The sequence below is a fragment of the Homo sapiens genome, chromosome 15 (assembly GCF_000001405.40).
Source record: "Homo sapiens chromosome 15, GRCh38.p14 Primary Assembly".
Taxonomy (NCBI): Eukaryota; Metazoa; Chordata; class Mammalia; order Primates; family Hominidae; genus Homo; species Homo sapiens.
Genome location: NC_000015.10, coordinates 50,333,724 through 50,360,197, shown reverse-complemented (window position 1 = coordinate 50,360,197; position 26,474 = coordinate 50,333,724). Strand labels below are relative to the sequence as shown.

The following is a 26,474-nucleotide window of genomic DNA, read 5'->3' as shown; positions in this document are numbered from 1 at the left end:
TAATATGCTTTGCACAGTGGCTGGCATACAGGAAACGTTTAATATATGGTAGCTACTATAAACTCGGTTATTTCCGTGTAGCTTTCCATGTCTACATGGAGGGAGAAAATGAGCAGATGTCCATTATAATTTAGCTATTACAGTTTTCACTCTAAAGTAAAAAAGGCATTTAGATTTATATGTCTTCTGGGAGTTTGGTTCTTCTGACTCCCTTCATCTGTGAGACCATAGGTACTTTTATGTAATATGATAAAAATTATTAGAAAAAGAAAAAAACGGCCGGGTGCAGTGGCTCACACCTGTAATCCCAGCGCTTTGGGAGGCCAAGGCAGGTAGATCACCTGAGGTTGGGAGTTCGAGACCAGCCTGACCAACATGGAGAAACCCGTCTCTACTAAAAATACAAAATTAGCAGGGTATGGTGGTGCATGCTTGTAATCCCAGCTACTTGGGAGGCTGAGGTAGGAGTATCGCTTCAACTCAGGAGGCAGAGGTTGCGGTGAGCCAAGATCGCACCATTGCACTCCAGCCTGGGCAATAAGAGCGAAACTCTGTCTCAAAAAAGAAAAAAATAAACTAAAAAGGAAAAAAGGGCCGGGCACGGTGGCTTACGCCTGTAATCCCAGCACTTTGGGAGGCTGAGGCAGGCGGATCACAAGGTCAGGCAATGAAGACCATCCTGGCCAACATGGTGAAACCCCGTCTCTACTGAAAATACAAAAATTAGCTGGATGTGGTGGTGCACACCTGTAATCCCAGCTATTTGGGAGGCTGAGGCAGGAGAATCGCTTGAACCCAGGAGGCAGAGGTTGCAGTGAGCCGAGACTGCACCACTGCACTCCAGCCTGGCGACAGAAAAAGACTCCCATCTCGAACACAAAAAACAAACAAAAAAAGGGAAATAAAGAATATGCAAAGTACAATCCCTCAAATTTTTATTAGACCCACAGAAATAAAATTAGTCTGTTAAACTGCTATAAGTTTCTAAATTCTTACTTTCTGTAAATGCCTTGACATGGATGTGTAACAAAGGGCTTACAGACTGGCACTGCCTTGTGGACCACACTTTTGGTGAGACTGCTCTAGAGCGCTGACAAAAATCAGACTTTGAATCCACAGGGCTGAAGTCAAAGCAACTGAAGGGTGTCCTGACTCACCAGCTGGCCACCTAGTGGCCTCCTTCTAGTCATAAGCACAACCTTGTGTCACTCCTTAGTTCAAAAACCATCCATTATTCTGCCTGACTCAAGGGTAAAATCTCAGTCCTTTAATCTGACATCCAAGGCCTTCCAGAGCTGGTTCTAAACAACTTTTTAAGTCTGACTTTCCACTATCCTCTACTTCACTAGACTGCATTGTCCAATATGGTAATAACTTGTCCCACTTGAAATGCAGAAGTGAAATGAGGCTAATTTAGGAACTGAATTCATAATCCTAACTTTAATTTAAAATAAAATTTAAAAATATACACGATTCGATTACCGTAAAACTTTTAAGTATGCTTGGAACGACTTGGGTACGTGAATCTATTTTTTCAGCTGGAAATTTTATGAAATCAAGTACTGAGATATGCTATAAGTATAAAATACACACCAGATTTCAAATGCTTAGTTATGAGAAAGATAATGTAAAATATTTTTAATATTTAGTAATTTTTTATGTTGATCACATGTGAAATAATATTTGGATATGCTAGGGGTTAAAAGTGTAATTAAAATTAATTCCACCTAGACAACATGCCCCAAACCTAGGCATCACTATTGATTCCTCCCTTTCCTCATTTAATTGGTAAGCAAGATAGGTCAGCTTTTTGGATCCATCCACTTCCCTCATCTCTACTGCTACTATCCTAGTCCATGATACTCCATTTCTTTTTTTTTTTTTTTTTTTTTTGAGACGGAGTCTCGCTCTGTCGCCCAGGCTGGAGTGCAGTGGCACGATCTCGGCTCACTGCAAGCCCTGCCTCCTGGGTTCACGCCATTATCCTGCCTCAGCCTCCCGAGTAGCTGGGACTACAGGCGCCCGCCACCACGCCTGGCTAATTTTTAAAAAAATTTTTTATTTTGAATAGAGACGGGGTTTCACCATGTTAGCCAGGATGGTCTCCATCTCCTGACCTCTTGATCCTCCCACCTCGGCCTCCCAAAGTGCTGGGATTACAGGCGTGAGCCACCGCGCCCGGCCAGATACTCCATTTCTTAAATCCTTCAATGGCTTCCAGTGCACTTCACCTTCTTATTGAGGCTGAAGACTTCACCTCCTATCATTCCTTCTTTTGGTCACTAGATTTCGGATACACTGACCTTGCTATTCCCTAAACACAACAAATTTTTCACCTTAGGGCCTTTGCCCAGCTATTCCCTTTGGTCTCACACTGTTCTTGTCCTTTCTAATACCTTCTCAGTGAGGCCATCTCTGATCAACCAACCACCAAAAGTTTGCTCTCTTTTCCCCAGAGTAACACTTTATCCAATCAGCTTTTAATTTTCCTCACAAACTCTTTTTTTTTGAGGCGGAGTCTCGTTCAGTCGCCCAGGCTGGAGTGCAGTGGCGCAATCTCGGCTCACTGCAGCCTCCGTGTCCTGGGTTCAAGCTACTCTCCTGCCTCAGCCTCCGGAGTAGCTGGAATTACAGGAGCGTGCCACCATGCCCAGCTAATTTTTTTCAGTAGAGACGGGGTTTTGCCATGTTGGCCAGGCTGCTCTTTAACTCCTGAACTCAGGAGATCCACCCACCTCGGCCTCCCAAACTGCTGGGATTACTGGCATGAGCCACTGCACCCAGCCTTCTTCACGAATTTATGGGATATTCTCTCTCCTCTTATTTTTAAAACTTGTTTATATGCTGTTTCCCTCTAAAAAACAGGAGTAGGAACCATTTGTTTTGCTGCTGCTTTACCTATTTCAGTGTGTAGAACAGTACCAGGCACAGAGTAGGTGCTCTTCCAACAGTGTTGAATGAATATCTAATTGCACACTACACATATATGACTGGTTGGCTCACATGCACTTCAAATTTTACATGGTCAAAACAAAGACTTCTTCCTTCCCTAACATATATTCTCTTATTTTGTTTCTAATCTCAGTGAAGACATTACTATCCTCCTAGCTGCTCCACCAACTCACTTGGGAGTCACCTGACATCTATCTCCCTCAGTCATTTTCAGTTAACCAAATCTCCCAATAACCACTTTATTTTCTTCACACCTACCTGCTACCAACTCAGTCCAAGTCATTACTGGCTCACAGCCTACTGTTTACTCCAAACTCTTCTGTTTGCCTCAAATTTTTGTGTAACAGTGATCTGTCTAAAATGAATTCAATCCTATGATTCTTCTACTTAAAATCTTTCAATATCTTCTTCCTGGTTCTCAGAAGCTGACTTCTGCACATAGCATTCAAGGCCTTCACAAGTAGACCTCCAGCATTGTCTTCTTTACCCAACAATCTCTCTAGTGTTTGCCTCCAAACATCTGTACTTACTGCTTCTCATCTAGAAAGTCTTCCATAATACCCTTATTAAAGCTAATTGCTTCTCTAGTCCCATTCCATTTTATTCCTCCCTCTTGGTTTAGTAAGGGGTTCCTCCTTTATTTGATTCCACAGTATTAAGTAGCTTCACTCTCATCATACTGATGATGCCTATTTACTTGTCTACATTCTACAGCCTAAGATTAATGGGGGCAACGATTCTGTAACAATTAGCTGAATGTTCACTCAAATAAACAATGCTCATTCAAATAATGCTACAGAAAAACATCAGAATTTGGCAAATTTCTATTAACTGAAGAAATGAAAATATTAAATCAAAAGAAAACACAGCCTATGGTTCCTATGCTTTTTTTCTATTTTAGGCACAATGCTTTAATAAATTACACAAAGACTACAAACCTTTATTACATCAATTGTTACAAAAGGCTAAGTGGAGAAAGATTACTTATCTGAAGCTGCACAAAATCAGTGGGCAATATGGATTTCATTTAAGCTTGTCAATTCTCCTGGATTAAATTCTTGGCGCTGTCTCACATATTCCCAAGTCCTACATGTAGGATGCTAAAAGTTGCAGTTACTAGGTTGGGAAAGCCATGCCCAGACGCCCCTGTGAAAAACATATCAATATATTAAGTTCCTTAGCAAATCACATCTAGATTAAGTTCATAATGCTTTTTTTTTTTTTAACTTTGCAAATCTCCAAACTTTTGCTACTTTCTTAATAAAATACAACAAAATTTTTGGCATTCCAGCCACGGAAAAACAGATCTCTACCTCTGAGGTGGCAGTAATCCAAGCAGTTACTAGGATCTACGAAACATGAGGCATAATTAGAATGTTGGGGAAAAAATCTACAGAAATATCTATATCTTCGTCATGAACCTGACTGTTGAGTTTATGAAAAAGTGGAAAAGGAACCTCACTCGTTCCTTCCCTGGTACCTTCACAGCGTCTCCCGTCCCAGTCTGCCTAGTTGAATCTAGGGACACTTAAAGGTAAATCCTAGCCTCTTGGCTGTCCTTCCGTCTCCCAGGATTCTGCTAGGCCGCACAGTTGGCAAGCTTAAAACTCCAAAGATTCCGCACTCTCCGTCTTTCAACAGTCATGTCACAGAGACACGAAGGTTAGCACAGGAACATTAGTTTCCAAACTCCTACCCACCGCAGAACAGGCGGGAAGGTTCGGTGGCCACCCGGCCTCTCCGCCGCGCACATGGCCGTCCGCAGCTCCCACCCCCGCTGCCGCGCAGGCGCCGGGCGAGCCGGGACTTGCGGTCGCCGAGAGCGGATCATTCCGCCGCTTTCTTTGTGTGGCTGAAGCGCTAGAAATGGCATATTTTCTTTCCCTTCGTTAAAAAATCAGACCCTCTTTCCCCTCTCTCCCCGCGGGAACACAGCTAGGGAGTGGGTAGGAGCAGGATCTGCCGACGAGGGCAGAGGCGGAAAATCCTCGGGCGATGAGCTGAAGAGGGCCGGGTCCGGGAGGGATGCTGGGAGCTTGACTCACTCGCACACCATGTGTCCCTCCGCGCGCAGCACGGGGGACTTTTCGGTGGGGATTTTGGGCGCCGACCAGACGCGGCATTTTCGGAAAATAGCGCCCTGTGCAGCTGAAGCGCTTTGTGTGTAGCGGGGCCGCGTCAGCCCGGCCGGGTACGAGGCGCCTCGGGTCCCCGCACCACCTCCTGCTGCCTTCCCGTCGCCGCTCCCGAAGCTTTTCCAGGTCAGTGCGGGTCTGTGTAGGGCCCTGTTACCACCGGATGTGGAAGTTGATCTCTTCGCTGGTAAAAAATAATTCCACTTCCCCCGGAACCCAGATCATCCCCGCGATTTCCTGTTTATTGCATTAAGGCGCCGGGTTTCCGGGGCTCCTGGCCCCGCTTATTCCGCGGGGGTCGGCGGGGTCGGCCTGGGCGCCCGCGCCGCCGCTGCGCTTTGTCCGCTGGGCACACTGCTTCTGGGAGGGGCGGGCAGACATGGTGGCGGCCGCCGCCCCCTCCTCGGCCCTAGCATGCCGCGGCCGCCTCGCGGCTACCCGGCTTGCCGGTCCCGAGCGGCAGCCCCGGGGTGGCGATGGGGTCGCGCCGAGGCAGCGGAGGTTCTGCGGGCGACTGGAGGTTGGCAGTGGGCGGGAGAAAGAGGAAGGCAGGCGCGGCTGGGCCTCGGCCTCTGGCGCCGCGGTACCCTTTGTCTCGGCAGCCTGACGGCCCCGCCGGGCTCTCCGGAGAGGGGAACGGGCGGCGAGGGTGGCGGGTCCTGGGCGCCCTGTGCTGCGGGGCCGAGAGGCGCTCGGGTCGCGGCGGGATCGGCCGGACCAGACAGGGTTAATGGAAGAGCCTGGCCAGTCCCGCGCGGGGCCCCCGCAGCGACAGCCTTGGCCGCGGGGACTGGAGTCCTGAGGGGGAGAAGCCTGCCGTTCTGAAGGCTCGGGACTTCTGCCCCAAAGACTTCGCCGCCGAGAACTGCGGGTGCACTGCCTCAGGGAAGAAGTTGAGAATTTTGCCAGGTCATCTCTGCCAGGGCACAGTTCATCACTGTGTGTTTAGTGTGTTTCGGTGAAGCTCTCCAAGTGTGTTGAATCAGCGTGCCTAGCCTCAAGGGTGCATCGTGAAAACTGAAACCAAAGGAATGATACAGGCCTGCTTTGTGTGTGTCTTCCCACTTTAAGCTTGTTTTCAGTACAAATACTCTTGCTTTAAACCTGATTGGACTGTGGCGAGCGGACATCTGTTCAAAGGAGGGGCCGAGACCACAGTACTTCTGAAGGGGGCTTGATAATGTGGAAACATTTTAAGTTTTCTCTCCGGACTGTTTTGCTCTCTCAATTCAGGCAAGTTACTGAAGTACGTTTTTTATCTAGAAAAAGGTTTGATGTAGTCTGTAAATGGTCCTTGTAAAGTACATTGCCATCTCAGAATTAAAAGATCCACTCTCATTTATTATGCAGAAGTTAGTGGTCATTCTTTCCTGTAGATAGTTTATCTCATGTAAAGACCCACCCAGCTTGGTTTAAATTTTTTTCTCACTGACGTATAACCATCAGCTTTGATACTTCCATTTTCAGGCTCAGACTTTGAATTTAAGGAAACTAAAGATGACTTTATTTTCTTTTCTCTTGGTTTTTTTTTTCCAAAAACAAAAAATAAATCCATTACATGTTAACATAGATGATAAGAGTGACATCTTGCATTTTTGCAAATCTTTTTAATGCCTGGTTTAATAGAAGATTCTCAGATCTACGTCAGACTGTTGTGGTTAGCACACCATGTAACCTCTGGAACACTCCACTGTACACTCATACTTTTTTAAAAAAAAAACCAAAAAACAGAAATGTGTCATTCTTACCGTGCTTTCACCATACAAGTCAAATCAAGCTGTTATGCAAGACACATTTTAACAAGACTGAATAAGATTGATTCCCATACTTTTTTTACTGGGCTCTAACTTTTTTAAAAGTTGGAATTTAGGTGACTAAACAAAATCACAGATGAAGACTGCATAATCTGCCTATGATCTCGGAGACTCAGGAACATTCGAAGATATTCTTAAGTGATTAAAACATTTAATTCTATTACATATTTATAATGATTTACACAAGTAACACGTGAATTCCACATATGCTATCAACACTTGTGTAAATGTTATCTTTAAAGATAGAACATGTTGAAAATTATAGGAGGTACAGATTTTACAGAAAATTAATTCTGCAGTGAATCCTTTGGTGAAACGAACAGTTTGCAGAGACATATCCTTAGAGTTCTTTGTCTCTCTGAATCATTCTGGGTTTTCTAGGTTGGGAGACAATTATACTTATTGGGAGACAATTATACTTAATTGATTAATGCATAAAAATTTAAGGCCGTATTTTAATGGCTTTGAAAGGAAGCTAAGTTTGTTTCCAGTTGTTTCTGTGAACTGTAGTCTGAATCTGTCAGTCTATAGTTCTCTACTGTTCCATCAACAGGAAGCATCTGGTCATTCTTCGTGTAATTGTTAGAAAATACCAGGTGTACTTTTAATGTTTGCTGTTCAAACGAAAATAGATTGGATCTTGGTTAAGTTCACTTGGTTTGGCCAGGCACAGTGGCTCACGCCTGCAGTCCCAGCACTTGGGGAGGTGGAGGCGGGCCGATCACCTGAGGTCAAGAGTTTGAGACCAGCCTGGCTAACGCGGTGAAACCCCATTTCTACTAAAAATACAAAAAATTAGCTGGGCGTGGTGGTGCGCGCTTGTAATCCCAGCTACTCGGGAGGCTGAGGCAGGAGAATCGCTTGAGCCAGAGAGGCAAAGGTTGCAATAAGCCAAGATAGCGCCATTGCATTCCAGCTTGGGCAACAGGAGCGAAACTCTGTCTCAAAAAAAAAAAAAAAAGTATGCTTGGTTTTAGTGTGTTTTTTCCCATAACATTGTGTCATTGTAATGGACCACATCTCCTGTACCATGAATTTTTTTTTACTTTTTTCTTTTGCCCCTCAGTACCAGAAATATTAACAGGTAACAGGTAAAGTGCACGTCATGAGGAATTCAGAAATTCAGAAATTACATGAAGTTTTGCATCATGAATTTATTTTTGAGGGTGCACGAGGCAGTTACCCAGTCTCTGTTTGCAAGTAGCCTGAGTTCAGATGAACTCACTGATGGCCTCCATCTCTTCTGACTTTGCAAACGTTGAAAAACAAACCCACACAAAATCTTGAAGTTGAGAGCAACTTAGTTTCCTTAGTGTCATCCCTCTGCTCCCCTCTCCTCCCCAACAACTAGTATGGTTTCCAGCTAGTAATCACAATGTTTCTATAGCTCTGATGTGCCTACATTGGGATAGCTACAATTAGTATTATAGTTTTCTGAAGATGTTTGTTCCATCATGCTTTCTAGAAGGTAAATCTAGCACTAGATGAGATCAGTATTAGGGCCTGTGTTTTTTCTCAGTGTTGACATCACAGTGCTCTATACAAAGAAGATGCTTTGGTGCAATCAGCTGTCAGTTCAGTTGGTGGGCTAGTGCACCTTTCTGTCTCCCTCCCTCCCTCCCTCCCTCCCTCCCTCTTTCCTCTCTCCTTCTCCCTCTGTCCCTCTCCCTCTCTCTCCTTCCCTCCCTGTTTTCCCCTTTGCACCTCTTCTTTCTTTGACAGGGTCTTGCTTTCTCTGTTACCCAGGCTTAGTGCAGTGGTGCGATTATACTTCACTGCAAGCTCCACCTTTCAGGCTCGAGCGATCCTGCCTCTGCCTCAGCCTCCTGAGTAGTTGGGACTACAGGTACCTGCCAACATGTCTGGCTAATTTTTTAATTTTTTGTAGAGACGAGATCTCACTGTGTTGCCCAGGCTGGTCTCAAACTTCTGGACTCAAGTGATCCTCCCACCTTGGCCTCCCAAGTGTTGGGATTATAGGCGTCAGCCAACACACCCATCTGTGAATAATTCTGAAGTTGGTAGAACAGCTTATTGACAGAGCAAGGTGTTAGCCCCACTTTACTGTGTACTAGTTATATTATATTTGGGGTATTGTGTTGGCTTTTTGGGTAGCATACTATCATAAGTGAGACCTTGTATTCATTCTCAGACTTTATCAGAATCATCTGGAGAGCTAATAAAAAGCCACACAGAGGCCCAAACTTAAGTAGGGTAGGAACGGACCTTAATTTTTCTCATTTCCAAGGTGGTAGACACCTAAGTGTCAAAATCACTTATCTGTAGAGCATAAACGAGGACCTTGATCATGAGAGAAATGGAAATGAGAAAAAGTTGAAAAAATGGGATGTTTGACCTAAAGAAGAGGAGCTTCTTTTAAGAAGTAACAGCCACTTTTAAGGATTTGGAGTTCTGTCATGCAGAAGGATCAGATTTGACTTGACCAGAAGGAACTAGGGTCAGTGGGTGGAAGTTTAAAAGAAGCAGATTTCAATTCTCTTTCAAGATAAATTTCCTCAAAATTGTGAAAATAGAATGAGTTGTTTTGGGTGGTAGGCTGTTCCTGTTCACTGACAAATTGGGGATTCTAGAGTAGAGGAATCGTACTGAAGGAGAATTTGAGCTAGGTGTCTTCAAGTTACCTATAAACTTTGAGGTTTTATTAAATATGCCGAGGTTTACAGGTGGAAGAACAAAAAGCTAATTGAGTGAAACAAACTGGTTAACTTGATAATAGTTTTTGCCTTCCTGGATAAAGAGAAATGAGTATTAAGTGAGAAGGCTATTTAATGAAGGGCTTTAAACCACACTGTAATTTGGTAGATTCAGCAGCTTTAAAAATTGGCATACCTTCTGACATGGAAATTCCCTTTAAAGAATTTTTTTTTTGATGTAGTAAAGATGTGTGTGAATATTTAATTGTGAGCATACTAGATGCAGTATTGTTGATTATAAAAGCTGTGTATTAATGCCTTTAAGCCCCACGGTAATCATATGAAGTGGGTAGTACTATTTCTGCTTTTCAGAAGAAAAAACAGGCATAGAGAAATGAGGTTGCTTGCTCAAGGTACCTGAGTTAGTTAAGTGTTAGGGCCAGGACTTGAATCCAACCAGTGTGACTCTAGAGCCAGTACTATTGATCATTATATGGTAAAATTGTAAACAACCTAAATGTTTCACAGTGATTGTTAGGGTCCATCCCTACAGTGGGGTACTGCCTTCTCAGCCATGAAAATGATGATAGAATAATATAAAGACATGAAAGGATGTCTTGGTATATGTAAGTGAGAAAAAATAAATTTAAAAACATGATTCCATTTTGGTAAAAAAACCCAAAAATATATTATGTCTGGAAGGATATGTGCCAAATTGTTAAATGGTTATTTCTGAGTGTAGTTTTACAGGTGATTGTTTTCTTTTTGCTTATCCAAATTTTCTAACTTCTACAATGAATATAAATTATCTATCATGTTGTAATTAAGATATTAAGATGTAACTTTTCAATAAAAAATTAAATGTGTTAGCATAAGCTGAGAAATTTGGGTTTTATACTCTGCATTTTAAGCAAGTTTGTAGAAATTGTACATGAGAATTTGTAAATGCATGTAGTGTTTTGTAATTTTTTGTTTGATTCCTTATTCTAGAAGTAATATCAATTGAGTAGAGAAACATATCACTCCTACCACCCTACCATAATCAATTATTTTGTTGTGTGTTGTTACTCTTATGTGTAATATTTTAAATATTCATCCCAGTGTCATCCCAGTTAGTCATACTCTAGCTGTGTGATTTTAGGCAGTTTACTTAATCTCTCCGTGGCTCAGTTTCCTTCTTTGTAAAATGTGGATTATTATAATACTTAGCTCATGATGATTGGAAAGATTAAATGTTATTTCATATAAAGTGAACAGAACAGTACCTGAAACATAACAGTTAATAGCTCAATAAATGTTAGCAATTATAGGATCACAGTCCACCATTCAAACTCTTAGGGTCTAATAGGTTATGGAATTAGGAATTTTTTTTTTATATGGGCAAGGTAGTAATGTGTAGCCTTCCAATAGAGTCCAGTGCAATATCCCCCTTCAAAAGTGTTACTGTTTCTGCAACAAAATGTATGAATGTTCGCACTAAATAGGATAAAGACTGTAAATAGCTTCATATCAGTTTGGGTAAGGTTTACCACAAGATGAGTTATTTTGGGTTTCAGAAGTTTTTTGGATTTTTGGAATTGAAGATAAGGAACCTATAAAATATTAATTTTGAGTCCTATTTTATAATATTAAAACATCTTTTCATGGTATTTTATAGTTTTATAGTGCATGGTAAATTAAAGTCAATTAAAATGAAATAATGGAAAATGTCCACCTCCATCTCCTTTGATTTAAAAAATACTCAGCATACTGATACTATGATTTAAAAAAAATTTTTTTTTTGAGATGGAGTCTCACTCTGTCGCCAAGCTGGAATGCAGTGGCACGATCTTAGCTCAGTGCAATCTGCGCCTCCTGGGTTCAAGCGATTCTTCTGCCTCAGCCTCCCGAGTAGCTGGGACTACAGGTGCGCGCCACGACGCCCAGCTAATTTTTGCATTTTTAGTAGAAACGTGGTTTCACCATGTTGGTCAGGATGGTCTTGATCTCTTGACCTTGTGATCTGCCTGCCTCGGCCTCCCAAAGTGCAGCAATTACAGGTGTGAGCCACTGTGCCCAGCCAAAAAGTTTCAAAGTTTAAAAAAAAAAAAATGGCCGGGCTCAGTGTCTCATGCCTGTAATCCCAGCACTTTGGGAGGCCGAGGCGGGCGGATCACTTGAGGTCAAGAATTCGAGACCAGCCTGGCCAACATGGTGAAACGCCGTCCCTACTAAAAATACAAAAATTAGCCAGACGTGGTGTGTGCTTGTGTCTCGGCTACTCGGGAGGCCGAGGTGGGAGTATTCCTTTAGTCTGGGAGGCGGAGGTTGTAGTGAGCGGAGATTGTGCCACTGTACTGCAGCCTGGGTGACAGAGCAAGATTCTGTCTCCAAAAAAAATTTAAAAAACTACTCCTGTTGGTCCTGACTGTGATTCTATTTTAAAGAATATCTTAAACCCACTAATGCTGTGATTATATTACATAATGTAGAATCTTTTTCTGAAAGAGGCTTGAGCATTCCTATAACCCAATTAGCTTGTTTATGTCTCATTACACTTGAGGGATAAGATACTTTTACTATGGTGGTTTACTATAGTAGTGATTCTTTTTTTTTTTTTCCAGATGGAGTTTCACTCTGTCACCCAGGCTGGAGTGCAGTGGTGTGATCTAGGCTCACTGTAACCTCTGCCTCCCGGGTTCAAGTGATTCTCCCAAGTAGCTGCAGTTACAGGTGCCCGCCACCATGCCCAGCTAATTTTTGTATTTTTAGTAGAGACGGGGTTTAGCCATGTTGGCTAGGCTGGTCTCCAACTTCTGACTTCAAGTGATCTGCCCACCTTGGCCTCCCAAAGTGCTGAGATTACAGGTATAAGCCACTGCGCCCAGCCTATAGTAGTGATTCTTTAAAGGAGGTGGGTAGATGACACTGTGATACCTGTCTTTAATGCACCCATTCTGTGCATGTAGAGACTGAGGTGGTTGTAAAATTACAGTACTGAACTTTGGAATTAGGTCAATTCTTCTCATTATGATAACGGTTTTGGATGTATAGCCCCTTCTGACTCCTGGAATCCTTTATTTCCACAGCACTTCCCATGTATCCAAACAGAGGAAAAAATAATTAGTAGTATAGTGCTTGCTTCAGCAGCACATATACTAAAATTGGAACGATGCAGAGAAGATTTTCATGGTCCCTGCACAAGGATGACACATAAATTTATGATGTGTTCCATATTTATTATTATTTTTAATAATAAAAAATAAAAAAAATTTGTATGGTGTGTAAGTGAATGATCTAAAAAATTTCCTTTGTGCCCTAAATGACTTGTGTGAACTCTGTGATCTTTGCCAATGTGATTATTCTTCCTGTGTTCCTTTACTTGTTCCATTCATAGTGACCCTCAGTTTCTTGCCCTAAGTGCTATGGTCTAAAAGCTTGTGTCTCCCCATAATTCATGTTGAAATCTTAACCTCCAAGATGATGGCATTAGGAGATGGGGCCTTTGGGAGGTGATTAGCTCAGGTGGGTAGAGCCCTCAGGAGTGGGATTAGTGCTCTTAAAAAAGAGACTCCAGACCGGGTGCAGTGGGTCATGCTTGTAATCCCAGCACTTTGGGAGGCTGAGGTGGGTGGATCAGGAGGTCAGGAGTACAAGACCAGTTTGGCCAAGATGGTGAAACCCCATCTCTACTAAAAATACAAAAATTAGCCGGGCACAGTGGCAGGTGCCTGTAATCCCAGCTACTCAGGAGGTGGAGGCAGGAGAATCGCTTGAACCTGGGGGGGGCGGAGGTTGCAGTGAGCCGAGATGGCGCCACTGCACTCCAGCCTGGGCGACAGAGTGAGACTCTGTCTCAAAAAAAAAAAAAAAGACTCCAGACAGCTTGTTAGCTCTTTCTTCCACATGAGGTTACAGCAAAAAGACAGATGTCTAGAAGCTGGCCCTTACCAGATACTGAATCTGCCAGTGCCTTATTTTGGACTTCTCAGCCTCCTGGGCTGGGTGAGGTGGTTCACTACCAGCCTTGGCACCATAGTGAGACTCCCATCTCTACAAAAAAAAAAAAAAAAAAACTTTCTGTTGTTTGTAAGCTACCCAGTTTATGGTATTTTGTTACAGCAACCCAAACAGTCTGAGACGTTTAGCTTAACTCCTGTATGCACTAGATACAGTCTGCACTTTGACATCAATCACTTATTTTATATTTTACTGGACTCCTGTTGTCAGATTTTTCCACCATCGATTTCTTCTGTTTTCCCTCACAGGTCACAGCATATTTGTGGAGGAAGGTGAGTAATTATGAAGATTTCTTGGCCACTATAAATTTACGCTGAACAATTCCAAATAGGCCCCTCCTACTTCTTGGCAATCATCTTATTAATTGCATTTTTCTGTTGTCTCATATTCCTTCTTCCTCTTTAACTCTTAATAGATGCCATTTACTTCTATATAAGTGAAAAAGGAAAACAGGGTACAAGCTTGCACATTTTTTTTTCATTGTAACCATGACAAATCACTGTTCTTTCATCTTATTTTGTAAATTGAACGGAAGAAGAATCCTGCTGCCACAGTTAACTTTACCTCTCTGGTCACTTTGATTGTTATTTGCAATGTTTTTTCTTCCCTACCTTAAAATATGTACAGACTTCTCACCGGGCGTGGTGGCTCATGCCTGTAAACCCAGCACTTTGGGAGGCCAGGGCGGGTGGATCACGAGGTCAGGAGATCGAGACGATCCTGGCTAACACAGTGAAACCCCGTCTCTACTAAAAATAAAAAAAATTAGCTGGGCGTGGTGGCGAGCGCCTGTAGTTCCAGCTACTCGGGAGGCTGAGGCAGGAGAATGGCGTGTACCCGGGAGGCGGAGCTTGCAGTGAGCCGAGATCGCACCACTGCACTCCAGACTAGGCGACAGAGCGAGACTCCATCTAAAAAAAAAACAAAAAAAAATGTACAGACATCTGTACTTTGGGAGGAAAAAAAATCAATTTTGATGAACTGCTGCTACTGTTCTTTCTAGCTATCTGCTGCATTTCTCTTCATTTCAAAAATTTTAAGAATTGAATTACAATTGCTGCCGTGAGTTTTTACTTTTTTTTCGAAGACAGGGTCTCACTGTGTTGCCCAGGCTGGAGTACAATTGCAGCTCACTGCAGCCTTGACCTCCCCAGGCTCAGGTGATCCTCCTACCTCAGTTTCCCGAGTAGCTGGGACTACACGCATGTGTCACCATGCCTGGCTAATTTTTGTATTTTCCTGGTAGAGACAAGGTCTCACTGTGTTGGCCAGGCTAGTCAACTCCTGAGTTCTTTTACTACTACTTTCCTAACTTACGCAGTTTTGGAATAGCATAATTCAGATTGTCGCTTCAGAGGACATCTTTTTTGTCAATAATATTGGCTTCATCCTGACTCTTTTCAGCTAGTATATATGTGTTACTATTTCCACTGAGGCTTTTTAATGTTCTCTCCTTGCCGTTTGTGTTAGTTTGCCATCCTGGTTTTCCCTTCTGACTATTCTGTTTTCTTTGTTGTTTCATGAGCCTCTTAGCACTGTTAGTCTCATCAGTACTTGATTATTCCCCTCTTAGATGTTTTATATGCTGATGACTCCCAAATGTGTGTCCCATCCATGTTTGATGCTCCAGTAGTTTACTGGATATTTCTGTTGGAACGCTCAAGGAATTTCCATCACTTTTAGATTTATTATTATTCAGCCTCTCACCTGCTTTCACCATTTCTTTTAATTTTATCATACTTAAATTTTGAAGTAGTCTGCGATGCATACTTTTGCTTTATTTATTTATTATTTTTTGTTTTTTTGAGACGGAGTTTCATTCTTGTTGCCCAAGCTGGAGTGCAATGGCGCAATCTTGGCTCACTGCAACCTCTGCCTCCTAGGTTCAAGCGATTGTCCTGCCTCAGCCTCCTGAGTAGCTGGGATTTCAGGCGTGCACCACCATGCCTGGCTAATTTTGTATTTTTAGTAGAGATGGGATTTCTCCATGTTGGTCAGGCTGGTCTCAAACTCCCAACCTCAGGTGCCGCCCTCCTCGGCCTCCCAAAGTGCAGGCGTTACAGGCGTGAGCACAGTTTTTTACTCTTTATTGGCTCCCAGTTTGTCTTGGAATTCTGCATTGCCTATTATTTGCTTCCTTTAAACTTTAGATTTTCCTTCCTTGCATCCTTTTTGCATATGGCTGCCAGAATGATTTTCCTGAAAATATTTTGAACCCATTGCTAAACATATAAGCCTGAGGAGAGAACATGTGCTATTGACCTTTGCACTGTCTATTCTGTCAAACAAAGTGAATTGAACCTTGCTGAATAAATGTTTGAAAGGGTCACCATTTGCTCAAAAATTTGAATGACTCCCAGTTGTTTACAAGATAAAGTCCAAATTCTACTTTCTGACTTTCAAACCTTTTTATATTCTTCTTCAGCCTTATTCCTTACTGTTTAACATTATCAAGCTGGTGTTTACTCTGTAATATACCTTGCTTAAGCACAACTCCATGCATTCTTCCTTTCCTTGCCTGTCAGAGCCTACTCAGGGATGTTTGCCCTGCGGCTGGCACTGTTCTAATCTCTGATGTTATAGTAATGAACAAAAGAGAAGACAAAGTCCCGTTTTCTTGGAGCTGACGTTTGTGGGGAGGGACACATAGTAAACAAATACGTGATGTTAGGTGGTAATGAGTAAAATGAAAAGGAATAAAAGTAGGTAATAAAAGATGATTGTTTATTCTGACTTCCAATAAAAAATATATCTTACATGGTAATTATATATGTTACTATGTGCATGTGTGGTAACTACATTTGATTGGCCAGGTGTGGTGGCTCATGCCTGTAATCCCAGCACTTTGGGAGGCCGAGGCGGGCAGATCATGAGGTCAGGAGATCAAGACCATCCTGGCCGACATGGTGAAACCTCATCTCTACTAAAAATACAAAAACTAGCTAGGCGTGGTGGTGTGTGCCTGTAGTCCCAGCCACTCGGGAGGCTGAGGCAGGAGAATCGCTTGAACCTGGGAGGTGGAGGCTGCAGTGAGCCGAGATGGCACCACTGCACCTCCAGCCTGGTGACAGAGCGAGACTCCATCTAAAAAAAAAAGAGGTGAGGGGATAGATTGGTGGGATGTGGTAGCTATCTTAGGTGGTCTGGGAAAGCTGCTCCCTGGGTGTCCTAGAGTGCAGGAGCAAGCCATACAGTATCTAAGTGAAGAGTTCTAGACAGCAGAACCAACTTGTGCTAGACCCTAAAGTGCGAACACATTTGCCTTGTTCAAAGAATTGCTGACTTTTGTGGCTAGAGCACAGTGACTAAGGGGGAGAATGATAGATGAGCTGAGAAGAGATGATGGGGAGATTGATAGATGAGCTGAGAAGAGATGATGGGGAGATTGATAGATGAGCTGAGAAGAGATGATGGGGAGACAGATTATGCTTCAAATGTTAAGTCCTGCGGGGCACGGTGGCTCACGCCTGTAATCCCAGCACTTTGGGAGGCCGAGGCGGGTGGATCACGAAGTCAGGAGATCGAGACCATCCTGGCTAACATGGTGAAACCCCGTCTCTACTAAAAATACAAAAAATTAGCCGGGTGTGGTGGTGGGCGCCTGTAGTCCCAGCTACTCGGGACGCTGAGGCAGGAGAATGGCGTGAACCCGGGAGGCGGACTTGCAGTGAGCCAAGATCGTGCCACTGCACTCCAGCCTGGGCGACAGAGCGAGACTCCATCTCAAAACAAACAAACAAACAAACAAAAACAAATGTTAAGTCCTTCATTGAAGAGGCCTTCTTTGACTACTACAACTTGTTAATATAAACCTTGAAACCTATCTAACAACTATAGAAGTAGCTCTCAGATGATTGTTTATTCTGACTCCCAATAAAAAATATATCTTACATGGTAATTATCTATATATGTTACTATGTGCATGTGTGATAACTACATTTGATATATGCTGATATTTTCAAAAACATTGGCTTTAACCTACTAAAGTGATTTCACAGTCTGTTAATAGGTCATGACCAACAGTTTGAAGAGCACTGATCTATGGTGTCTATACCCACTTAAACAAAACACTGAACTACAAACTACTTTTGTTATAATCTACAAATTTTTTCAGTTTGTGAAATATTTTTGGTTAAAGATCTTGCCTTTAATTTTTGTGTGTAGGTTTACAGTGTTTATAATAATGCTGAATAGAAAGGACTTGTTTAATTTAGCAAACATCTGTTGAGTGGTATATTAGAAGCTGCTAGATACTAAAATACACATAAGAATAAGATAAACCATTAGCCTTTACTCCTATAAGGGTTAAAAAAAAAAAAGAGATCAATCCTTGTCTGAATTCCTAAGGCTTATGGGAGAGGAAAGCTTATAAATAAATCATTTGTAATGTGATGGAATCTATCTAATAATGGAAGTGTGTTAAGGCCACAATGAGAGAATAAAGAAGTGATTAATTCATTTTGCTGAGGTCAAGGGAAACTTATCGGAGGAGGTAATGTCTGAACTGCGTTTGGAGGGAGAATAGGACTACTTAGGTAAGTTCGGGAGGGGAAGACGTCTTAGGCTGGATAACATATAAAGGAGTAGAATCATGAGACAGAATAGCACATGAGGGTATTGTAAATAACCCTGTATTAAAATATAAATCCAAGGGGTAAGTGGTGAGTGATGAGGCTGCAGTGAGGCACAGGTCATATCCTTAAAGGTCTGAGACGCGTTGGAGTTACCACTTATTTAATGATTATGCATATTAGGGGAAAATACTGTATAGTCAGAATTAACTTGTAGGAAGTTGCCATTTGGGAAGTAAGGTACCATCTCTCAATAATTCCAAAACAGTCAGTTTTTCCTCTAGTGATGAAATATATCACTGTTTCCTCAATTGTGCCCTAGAGGAAGACGGTTTACATTTGTGGGCTATGTTGTACAAAATAAAATCTTATAAAACGTTAACTTATCCATTGCAATGAGAAGTTCATTCCATAAGATGCATTTGAGAACTGAGACCTACTGAGGAAATAGATTCATATTTCAGGCTCATGCTGGGACTTATGTTTATTAAGTAGAATGGTGAGTAGCCAACTGTTTAAATCATTTTCTTTTTTTTTTTGAGATGGGGTTTCACTCTTGTTGCCCAGGCTGGAGTGCAATGGCGCGATCTCGGCTCACTGCAACCTTCACCTCCCAGGTTCAAGTGATTCTCCTGCCTCAGCCTCCCGGGGTAGCTGGAATTACAGGCATGCACCGCCATGCCTGGCTAATTTTGTATTTTTAGTAGAGACGGGGTTTCTCCATGTTGGTCAGGCTCGTCTCGAACTCCGACCTCAGGTGATCCACCTGCTTTGGCCTCCCAAAGTGCTGGGATTACAGGTGTGAGCCACCGTGCCTGGCCTAAATCATTTTCAAGTTAAATATACATATGGTCAGTGCCACTGTATTCTGTAGGTGATTGGAATGCATAATTATATCTATATTCATTTTGGAAAGATATTTTGATAAATTTGGCCAAACCACAATTTAAGACTTTATGACAACATTAACATTTAAAATATACAAATTTTAAAGAAAAAAATATATACAAATTTAAAACAGACTGAGAGGAGTATGTAATAAACCATATGTAATATGTAATAAACCATATGTAATATGTAATATTACATATGGTAATAAACCATATGTAATATGTAATATTACATATGGTAATAAACCATATGTAATATGTAATATTACATATGGTAATAAACCATATGTAATATGTAATATTACATATGGTAATAAACCATATGTAATAAACCAGAAATATACATATTGCACTCCTACAAAGAGAATGAAATGGTAAAATAGGTAAAGAATATGAATAGGCAGTTTCGGAAGAGGAAACATAGTGGCCAACAAACATTTGATAAAGATGCATGGTCTCATTAGGAGTTTGAGAAATGCATATTAAAACACAATAATAGCATACTATGCAGCTGTATAAAAAAATGAGGAAGTTCTTTCTGTGAACTAATAGGAAAAGATCTCATGTGTTAAGCAAGAAAAGCAAGTGGAGAGCAGTGTTATGTGGTAATGTTTTTTTTTTTTTTTTTTTTTTTTGGTGATTATAGAAATACTGGAAGGATACTCATGAAACTAGTAAAGGTAATAACTTGTTGGGGTTGTGGGTCCAGGGTGGGCCAAGGAGGAGCAGTGAGCAGTGTAAATACTTCCATTGAGGATTTTCAATGTATACATTTCTGTGTTTGGGCTTTTGAGCTATATGAAAGTATTGCCTATTGAAAAAGGAAAAATATGTGAAGAAGACTTCATAGAACTTGACCAACTGTCTTAGTCCATTTGGGGTACTATAACAAAATATAAACTAGTGACTTATAAACAATAGAAATTTATTTCTCAGAGTTCTGGACGCTGGGAAGTTCAAGATCAAGGTGGTGGCAGATTCCATGGCTGGTGAGGGCCCATTTCCTGCTTTATAGATGGAGCCACCTTGCTGTGCCCTCATATGGTGAAGGGACAAAGCAGTTATCTGGCAATAATTCCATCCATGAAATTATGAATGGAATGATAAGGTTTGCCCTCATGAGCTAATCATCACTCAAAGTCCCCATCTACTAATACCATCACCTTGGGGTTAGGATTTCAACATGTTAATTTTGTGGGGACACAAACATTGAGACCAGCTGTGTATAGAAGATGAGGCAGAGGGAAGAGTGGAAGATAACTCCCAGATTTCTAAATTGGGAAGTAAAGAGGGTGATAATATTATCAGGTAATGCAGAAGGAAGATTAGGTTTTGTCATGTGCCTGGGAAGTTCTGGACATGCTAACTGACAAATCCTTACTACTTCTTAGTTTAGTGTGTATGGGTATAATTTATGTACTTTAGATATGGAACTTTCGAGCTTATCTTAAACATGAATATTAAGTAGTCATCAATAAATATTTTTTATCTGTAGACATTTATATTCTGAGTTAATTTTTAGAAAATTATGACTAATTTTATAGTCATAATAGGGACACTGATAAGCACAGATAGAATGTAGATAGAGAAATAGAGAATGTATATCTGATAAATATATAGCTTAGGTGGAAAGTAAGAATTTTATTTATTAACATGGTTTCAAGAAGTTTTTTTTTTTTTTTCCAAGGTGGAGTCTTACTCTGTTGCCCAGGCTGGAGTGCAGTGGCACAGTCTTGACTCACTGCAACCTCTGCTTCCCAGGTTCAAGTGATTCTCCCGCCTCAGCCTACCAGATAGCTGGGATTACAGGTGCCTTCCACCATACCTGGTTAATTACTGGTTATTTATTTGTTTTTTTGTTTTTTGAGATGGAGTCTCACTTTGTTGCCCAGACTGGAGTGCAGCAGTGTGATCTTGGCTCACTGCAACCTCTGCCTACCAGGCTCAAGCAGTGCTCCCACCTCAGCCTCCTGAGTAACTGGGACTACAGGCACGCACCACCATGCCTGGCTAGTTTTGTATTTTTAGTACAGACAGGGTTTCACCATGTTGACCAGACTGGTTTCGAACTCCTGACCCTGAGGTCAGGGTCACCTGAGTGATCTGCCCGTCTTGGCCTCCCAAAGTGCTGGGATTACAGGTGGGAAACACCACAACCAGCTGCTGGTTAATTTTTGTGTTTTTAGTAGAGATGGGGTTTCACTATGTTGGCTAGGCTGGTCTTGAACTCCAGACCTCAGGTGATCTGCCCGCCTTGGCCTCCCAAAGTGAGACATGAGCCACTGTGTTTGGCCTATGGTTCCAATTTAATGACATCTTTTGATGTCTGAAATTCAAAGAAACAAAAATAGATTTGAATAAGGAAGTGATCGTGGTAGATAGCTTATACTGTAATATTTAAAACGGAGGTTTAGGCCGGGTGTGGTGGCTCACGCCTGTAATCCTGGCACTTTTCAAGGCCCGGGTGGATCACTTAAGTCCAGGAGTTCAAGACCAGCCTGTGTAACATGGTGAAGCCCCGTCTCTACAAAAAATAGAAAAATTAGTTGGGCATGGTGGTGTTTGCCTGTAGCCCCAGCTACTCGGGAGGCTGAGGTGGGAGGATCTCTTGAGCCCAGGAGGTGTAGGTTGCAGTGAGCTGACATTGCACCACTACACTCCAGCCTGGGAGACAGAGCTCTGAAACAAAAACAAATCTCTTTGAAGTTTAGGGAAGTTTATAACAGCACAGAAATATTTTTTTATGTAGTATGTTTGGGAGTAACTGTATATAAGACAAAGAAGTTTAACCTAATGGAGACAAGGAGTCATAACATGTTGGGTGCTACTTAAAACAAGCTCTTGGCCGGGTGTGGTGGCTCATACCTGTAATCCCAGCACTTTGGGAGGTCGAGGTGGGCAGATCGCCTGAGGTTAGGAGTTCGAGACCAGCCTGACCAACATGGTGAAACCCCGTCTGTACTAAAAATACAAAAATTAGCTGGGTGTGGTGGCACGTGCCTGTAATCCCAGCTACTCGGGAGGCTGAGGCAGGAGAATCACTTGAACCTGGGAGGCAGAGGTTGCAGTGAGCCAAGATCTCACCACTACATTACATCCTGGGCCACAGAGTGAGACTCTGTCTCAAAACACAAAAACCAAAAAAACTAAGCTTTTGCTATATAATTTAGAGTTTAAATTTTTTTTTGAATGAATTATATTTCAGAATCTGATTTTTGAGGTTCTCATTTATCCATACTACTTTTACCTGAGTTTTATTTGGCCAGAGTCTAAAATTAAGTAAAAGAGGAGCACAGATAAAGCACATACTTGCAAATAAATGTAGTAGTTTTTTTCTGGATTTAAGTTAGTAAGGATTTGGGTATGGAACAGTAATGAAAAAGAACTAAGTAATTCTTTTTTTTTCTTTTTCAGTTGAGACGGGGTCTGTCTCTGACACCCAGGCTGGAGTGCAGTGGGGCAATCTCAGCTCACTGCAGGCCTCTACTTCTTGGGCTCTGGTGATCCTCTCACTTCAGCCTCCCAAGTAGCTGGGACCACATGATCGCACCACCACACCTGGCTAATTTTTTGTATTTTTTGGTGGAGATGAGGTTCCTTCATGTTGTCCAGGCTGGTCTTGAACTCCTGAGCTCAAGTGATCTGCTTGCCTCAGCCTCCCAAAGTGCTGGGATTACTACAGGCGTGAACCACTGCACTCAGCCAGTACTTTTTGCTTGAGATTCAAAACTTTTAACCATTTATGTCTGAAGAGAAGAGAGTTTACTAGTAAAAGTTTACTTTTTAAGATTCTTTTATTGCTGGCTTAGTCTTTCAAAAAATGCTTTAAAAATTACAAATAATATTACAGAATCTCATAACAGTTGGAGGTGGTCTTGTTTATGTGAGAGTGAAAAGGGTCTGAAACTTGCTGTTCTGTCACCTCCAACGTGTGCTTACCTCTTTAGCCACTGTCCTTCTTGCTACTGAAGTCTGGAGCTTTGGGAAACACAAATTGAGAAATGCTGGATTGGGCTGGGCTAGAGTTTTGGATGGGCTCTGACCTCTTCATATTATATATATATATATATATATATATATATATATATATATATATATATATATATACACACACATATACATGTAATTTTTTCTTTTTGAGGCAAGGTCTCACTCTTTTGTCCAGGCTGGAGTGCAGTGGTGCGATCATGGCCCCCTGCAGCCTCAACCTCTTGGGCTCAAGTGATCCTCCCACTTCAGCTTCCTGAGTAGCTGGGACTACAGGCACACACCACCATGCCTGGCTGGCCTGAAGCTCCTGAGCTTAAGAGATCCCCCTGCCTCATCCTCTCAGTCATGTACCACCATGCCTGGCTACATTTAACTTCTTATAATAGATTTGTGTATATTTAATGGTAGTAAACCATAAAATAGACCAATATCGATATATATTTTATGCATTCTTGACATACCTAACTTTTTCTTAAGTTTTTAAATATGCAGTTTGTGAGTTTTGCTTTTGAGACAGTGTCTTGTTCTGTTGCCCAGGATGGAGTGCAGTGGCATGAACATGGCTCACTGCAACTTTGACCTCCTGGGCTCAAGTGATCCTCCTTCTTCAGCCTCCTGAGTAGCTGGGACCACAGCTGTGTGCCACCATGCCTGGCTAATTAAAAAAATTTTTTTAAATTTTTTTGTAGAGATGGAGTCTTAAGCTCCTGGGCTTAAGCAATCCGCCTGCCTCGGCTTCCTGAAGTGCTGGGATTACAGGTGTGAGACACTGTACCTAGGCTTGTGAGGTTTTTTTTAATTGTCAAAGATCTCAAAATAATTTTTTTTTTTTTTTTTTTGGGACAGAGTCTCGCTCTGTTGCCCACGCTGGAGTGCAGTGGTGTGATCTTGGCTTACTGCAACCTCTGCCTCCTGGGTTCAAGCAGTTCTCCCTGCCTCAGCCTCCCGAGTAGCTAGAATTACAGGCACTTGCCCCCATGCCTGGCTAATTTTTGTGTTATTTTAATAGAGATGGGTTTTCGCCATATTGGCCAGACTTGTCTTGAGCTCCTGACCTCAGGTGATCCACCTGCCTTGGCCTCCCAAAGTGCTGGGATTACAGGCGTGAGCCACCATGCCAAGCCTCAAAATCATTTTCTAATATATTAAAAAAAGTGTGTGAGTGGACTGTGCAATTCAAATCTGGGTTGTTAAAGGGTCAGCTGTACATCAGGAAGGTCACTTCCAAATATATCTTGTTTCTGGATAATAGTGGCCTAGATTAGACCAGTCTTCTTTTTTTTTTTTTTTTTTTTTTGAGTCGGAGTCTTGCTGTCTCACCCAGGCTGGAGTGCAGCACCATGATCTCGGCTCACTGCAACCTCTGCTTCTTGGGTTCAAGTGATTCTCCTGCCTCAGCCTTCTGAGTAGCTGGGATTACAGGCGCATGCCACCACGCCTGGCTAATTTTGTATTTTTAATAGAGATGGGGTTTCACCATGTTGGCCAGGCTGATCTTGAACTCCTGACCTCATGATCCACCCGCCTTGGCCTCCCAAAGTGCTGGGATTACAGGTGTGAGCCACTGCACCCGGCCGACCAGTCTTCTTTTTGAAGACAATTGAAAATGTTGGATAAAATATATAGAACATTACCTTAGTAGCTTTGAAGAACTGGGAAGAAAAGGGAATCTGTTAAGCCAAATTCTGGAAGAAAGCCTAAAGCAGGAAGTTAACAGACTATCTGGCGAACTGAAGCCACTTTTGCTTTCAATATGTTTGCCAATATCAAGAAATTTAGGTTTCTGTTCATCAGTCTTATGGGGTGAGGTGGACAGAAATTAAGATGCAGAGCCCACCCAACATGTGGACATGTAAAGTCTTATGAGATATTCTTGCCTAATTAGGCTTGGGCTCCATATATCTACAGCTGAGAGGTAAGGATGAACCAGAACTAACCGCTTTTCATCACCTACCTCCCAATCAAATATCAAGGAATTTCAAGACAAGTTGTGTTGGTACTGAGCAGAGCAGGAGGAAAAAAGAGAAAGGAAACAAGCAAACAAAAGTCTTTACAAAGCATAGGTGGGAAAGGGAACCGTAAGCCATACTTAATTTAGGTTGGTTCCTGACTCCAGGTGCTTGTCAGAAGCAAATGCAAATGTTCTTCAAAGGAAGGCTCCTTCATCTTAGGCCTCCCCACAATTTTTTAAGGACAGTAATCAGCACATAGTCAAAGATAACTAGACGTACGAGGAGACAAGGAACCATAGGCATGAACCAGTAGAAACAACAGACAGCAGAAAAAGATAAACATCATATAATAGAATTAAAAGATATATAATAAAACAACCAAGCTTACTGTGTTTACAGAAATAAGTGACAAATTTGAGAATAGGGAACAGGAAATGATTGTTTTTAAGTGGCATTATAGTTTTGAAAAAACCAAATCGAATTTTTGGAATAAAAACTGACTCAGGAGTTTGAGGCCAGCCTGGGCAACATGGTGAAACCTTGTCTGTACAGAAAATACAAAAAAATTAGCTGGGTGTAGTGGCATGCACCTGTAGTCCCAGCTACTCCGGAGGCTGATGTGGGAGGATCACTTGAGTCCAGGAAGTCAAAGTTATAGTGAGCCAAGGTTGTACCACCATGCTGCAGCCTGGGTGACAGAATGAGACTGTCTCAAAAAAAAAAAAAAAAAAAAAAGGAAAAAAAGAAAAAGATAAAGTAACTGAATTAAAAACTTAATGATGCAATTTGCAGCAGATTGGACACATCAGAAAAATTATCAAACTGGAATATAGATCAGATAAAACCATCCAGAATGTAGCATAGATGATGGCTAGAGGCAAAAAGTTGGGAAATATAGAAGACAGTGTAAGAGATATGGGGATAGAGTGAGAGAGTCTTAATTGGAATTCCAGAAGGAAAGGAAGAGAGAATGGGACATTTGAAGAGATGATGGCTGATATTTTCCAGAACCAAGGAAAGATACCAAACCAGAATTCAAGAATTTCAATGAATCCTAATTAGGATAATAGTAAGTCCACACCTAAACACATTGTAATAAAGTCACAGAAAACCAAAAGTAGCTGGAGAAAAAGAAAACCATCAAACGAGCAAGAATTAGAGTAATAGATGACTTTTCTTTTCTTTTTTTCTTTTTCTTTTTTTTTTTTTTGAGATCGAGTTTCACTCTTGTTGCCCAGGCTGGAGTGCAATGGTGCAATCTGGGCTCACTGCAACCTCCGCCTTCTGGGTTCAAGCAATTCTCCTGCCTCAGCCTCCCTAATAGCTGAGATTACAGGTGCCCACCACCAAATGCAGCTAATTTTTTGTATTTTTAGTAGAGATGGGGTTTTACTATGTTGGCCAGGCTGGTCTCGAACTCCTGACCTCAGGTGATCCATATGCCTCAGCCTCCCAAAGTGTTGGCATTACAGGCGTGAGCCACCACGCCTGGCTAGATGACTTTTCAGCAGCAACAG

General features: G+C 42.0%; 1 protein-coding gene, 2 long non-coding RNA genes and 1 pseudogene across 13 annotated transcripts in view, besides 6 other annotated features; 3 read left to right on the top strand and 1 right to left on the bottom strand.

The window, feature by feature from the left end:
- Positions 1,886-6,024, bottom strand: GABPB1-AS1 (GABPB1 antisense RNA 1). Its single transcript, NR_024490.1, has one exon. It is a non-coding gene; the product is annotated as a GABPB1 antisense RNA 1 (long non-coding RNA).
- Positions 4,447-4,526: an enhancer, noted in NCBI's record as "active region_9392". NCBI's record gives its function as "activates an Ori minimal core promoter by ATAC-STARR-seq in GM12878 lymphoblastoid cells {active_cell/tissue: GM12878}" and the evidence as "EXISTENCE:reporter gene assay evidence [ECO:0000049][PMID:35858748]".
- Positions 4,595-5,218: an enhancer, noted in NCBI's record as "H3K27ac hESC enhancer chr15:50647177-50647800 (GRCh37/hg19 assembly coordinates)". NCBI's record gives its function as "activates a minimal SCP1, AML or CMV promoter by ChIP-STARR-seq in naive H9 embryonic stem cells {active_cell/tissue: H9 hESC(naive)}" and the evidence as "EXISTENCE:reporter gene assay evidence [ECO:0000049][PMID:30033119]".
- Positions 4,727-4,776: a silencer, noted in NCBI's record as "silent region_6427". NCBI's record gives its function as "represses an Ori minimal core promoter by ATAC-STARR-seq in GM12878 lymphoblastoid cells {active_cell/tissue: GM12878}" and the evidence as "EXISTENCE:reporter gene assay evidence [ECO:0000049][PMID:35858748]".
- The window catches only part of GABPB1 (GA binding protein transcription factor subunit beta 1), a 79,810-nt gene continuing 58,335 nt past the window's right edge, over positions 5,000-26,474 (top strand). For 6 of the 11 annotated variants that reach the window (XM_011521426.4, NM_016654.5, XM_024449886.2 and 3 more), the window contains exon 1: positions 5,000-5,213. Coding sequence is in view for 1 of the 11 variants with exons in the window: in XM_024449883.2 (XP_024305651.1) it covers positions 19,681-19,695 (15 nt within the window). In the remaining 10 variants the exon portion in view is untranslated. Of the gene's footprint in view, positions 5,214-13,802; positions 13,827-19,661; positions 19,696-26,474 lie in introns of all 11 variants that reach the window. The other 5 variants (XM_017022053.3, NM_001320915.2, NM_001320910.2 and 2 more) reach the window with 2 other exon arrangements.
- On the top strand, positions 5,319-11,262 carry GABPB1-IT1 (GABPB1 intronic transcript). Its single transcript, NR_026891.1, has one exon. It is a non-coding gene; the product is annotated as a GABPB1 intronic transcript (long non-coding RNA).
- Positions 5,357-5,606: a silencer, noted in NCBI's record as "silent region_6426". NCBI's record gives its function as "represses an Ori minimal core promoter by ATAC-STARR-seq in GM12878 lymphoblastoid cells {active_cell/tissue: GM12878}" and the evidence as "EXISTENCE:reporter gene assay evidence [ECO:0000049][PMID:35858748]".
- Positions 5,617-5,826: a silencer, noted in NCBI's record as "silent region_6425". NCBI's record gives its function as "represses an Ori minimal core promoter by ATAC-STARR-seq in GM12878 lymphoblastoid cells {active_cell/tissue: GM12878}" and the evidence as "EXISTENCE:reporter gene assay evidence [ECO:0000049][PMID:35858748]".
- Positions 5,957-6,016: an enhancer, noted in NCBI's record as "active region_9391". NCBI's record gives its function as "activates an Ori minimal core promoter by ATAC-STARR-seq in GM12878 lymphoblastoid cells {active_cell/tissue: GM12878}" and the evidence as "EXISTENCE:reporter gene assay evidence [ECO:0000049][PMID:35858748]".
- Positions 12,669-12,773, top strand: RNU6-94P (RNA, U6 small nuclear 94, pseudogene; annotated as a pseudogene).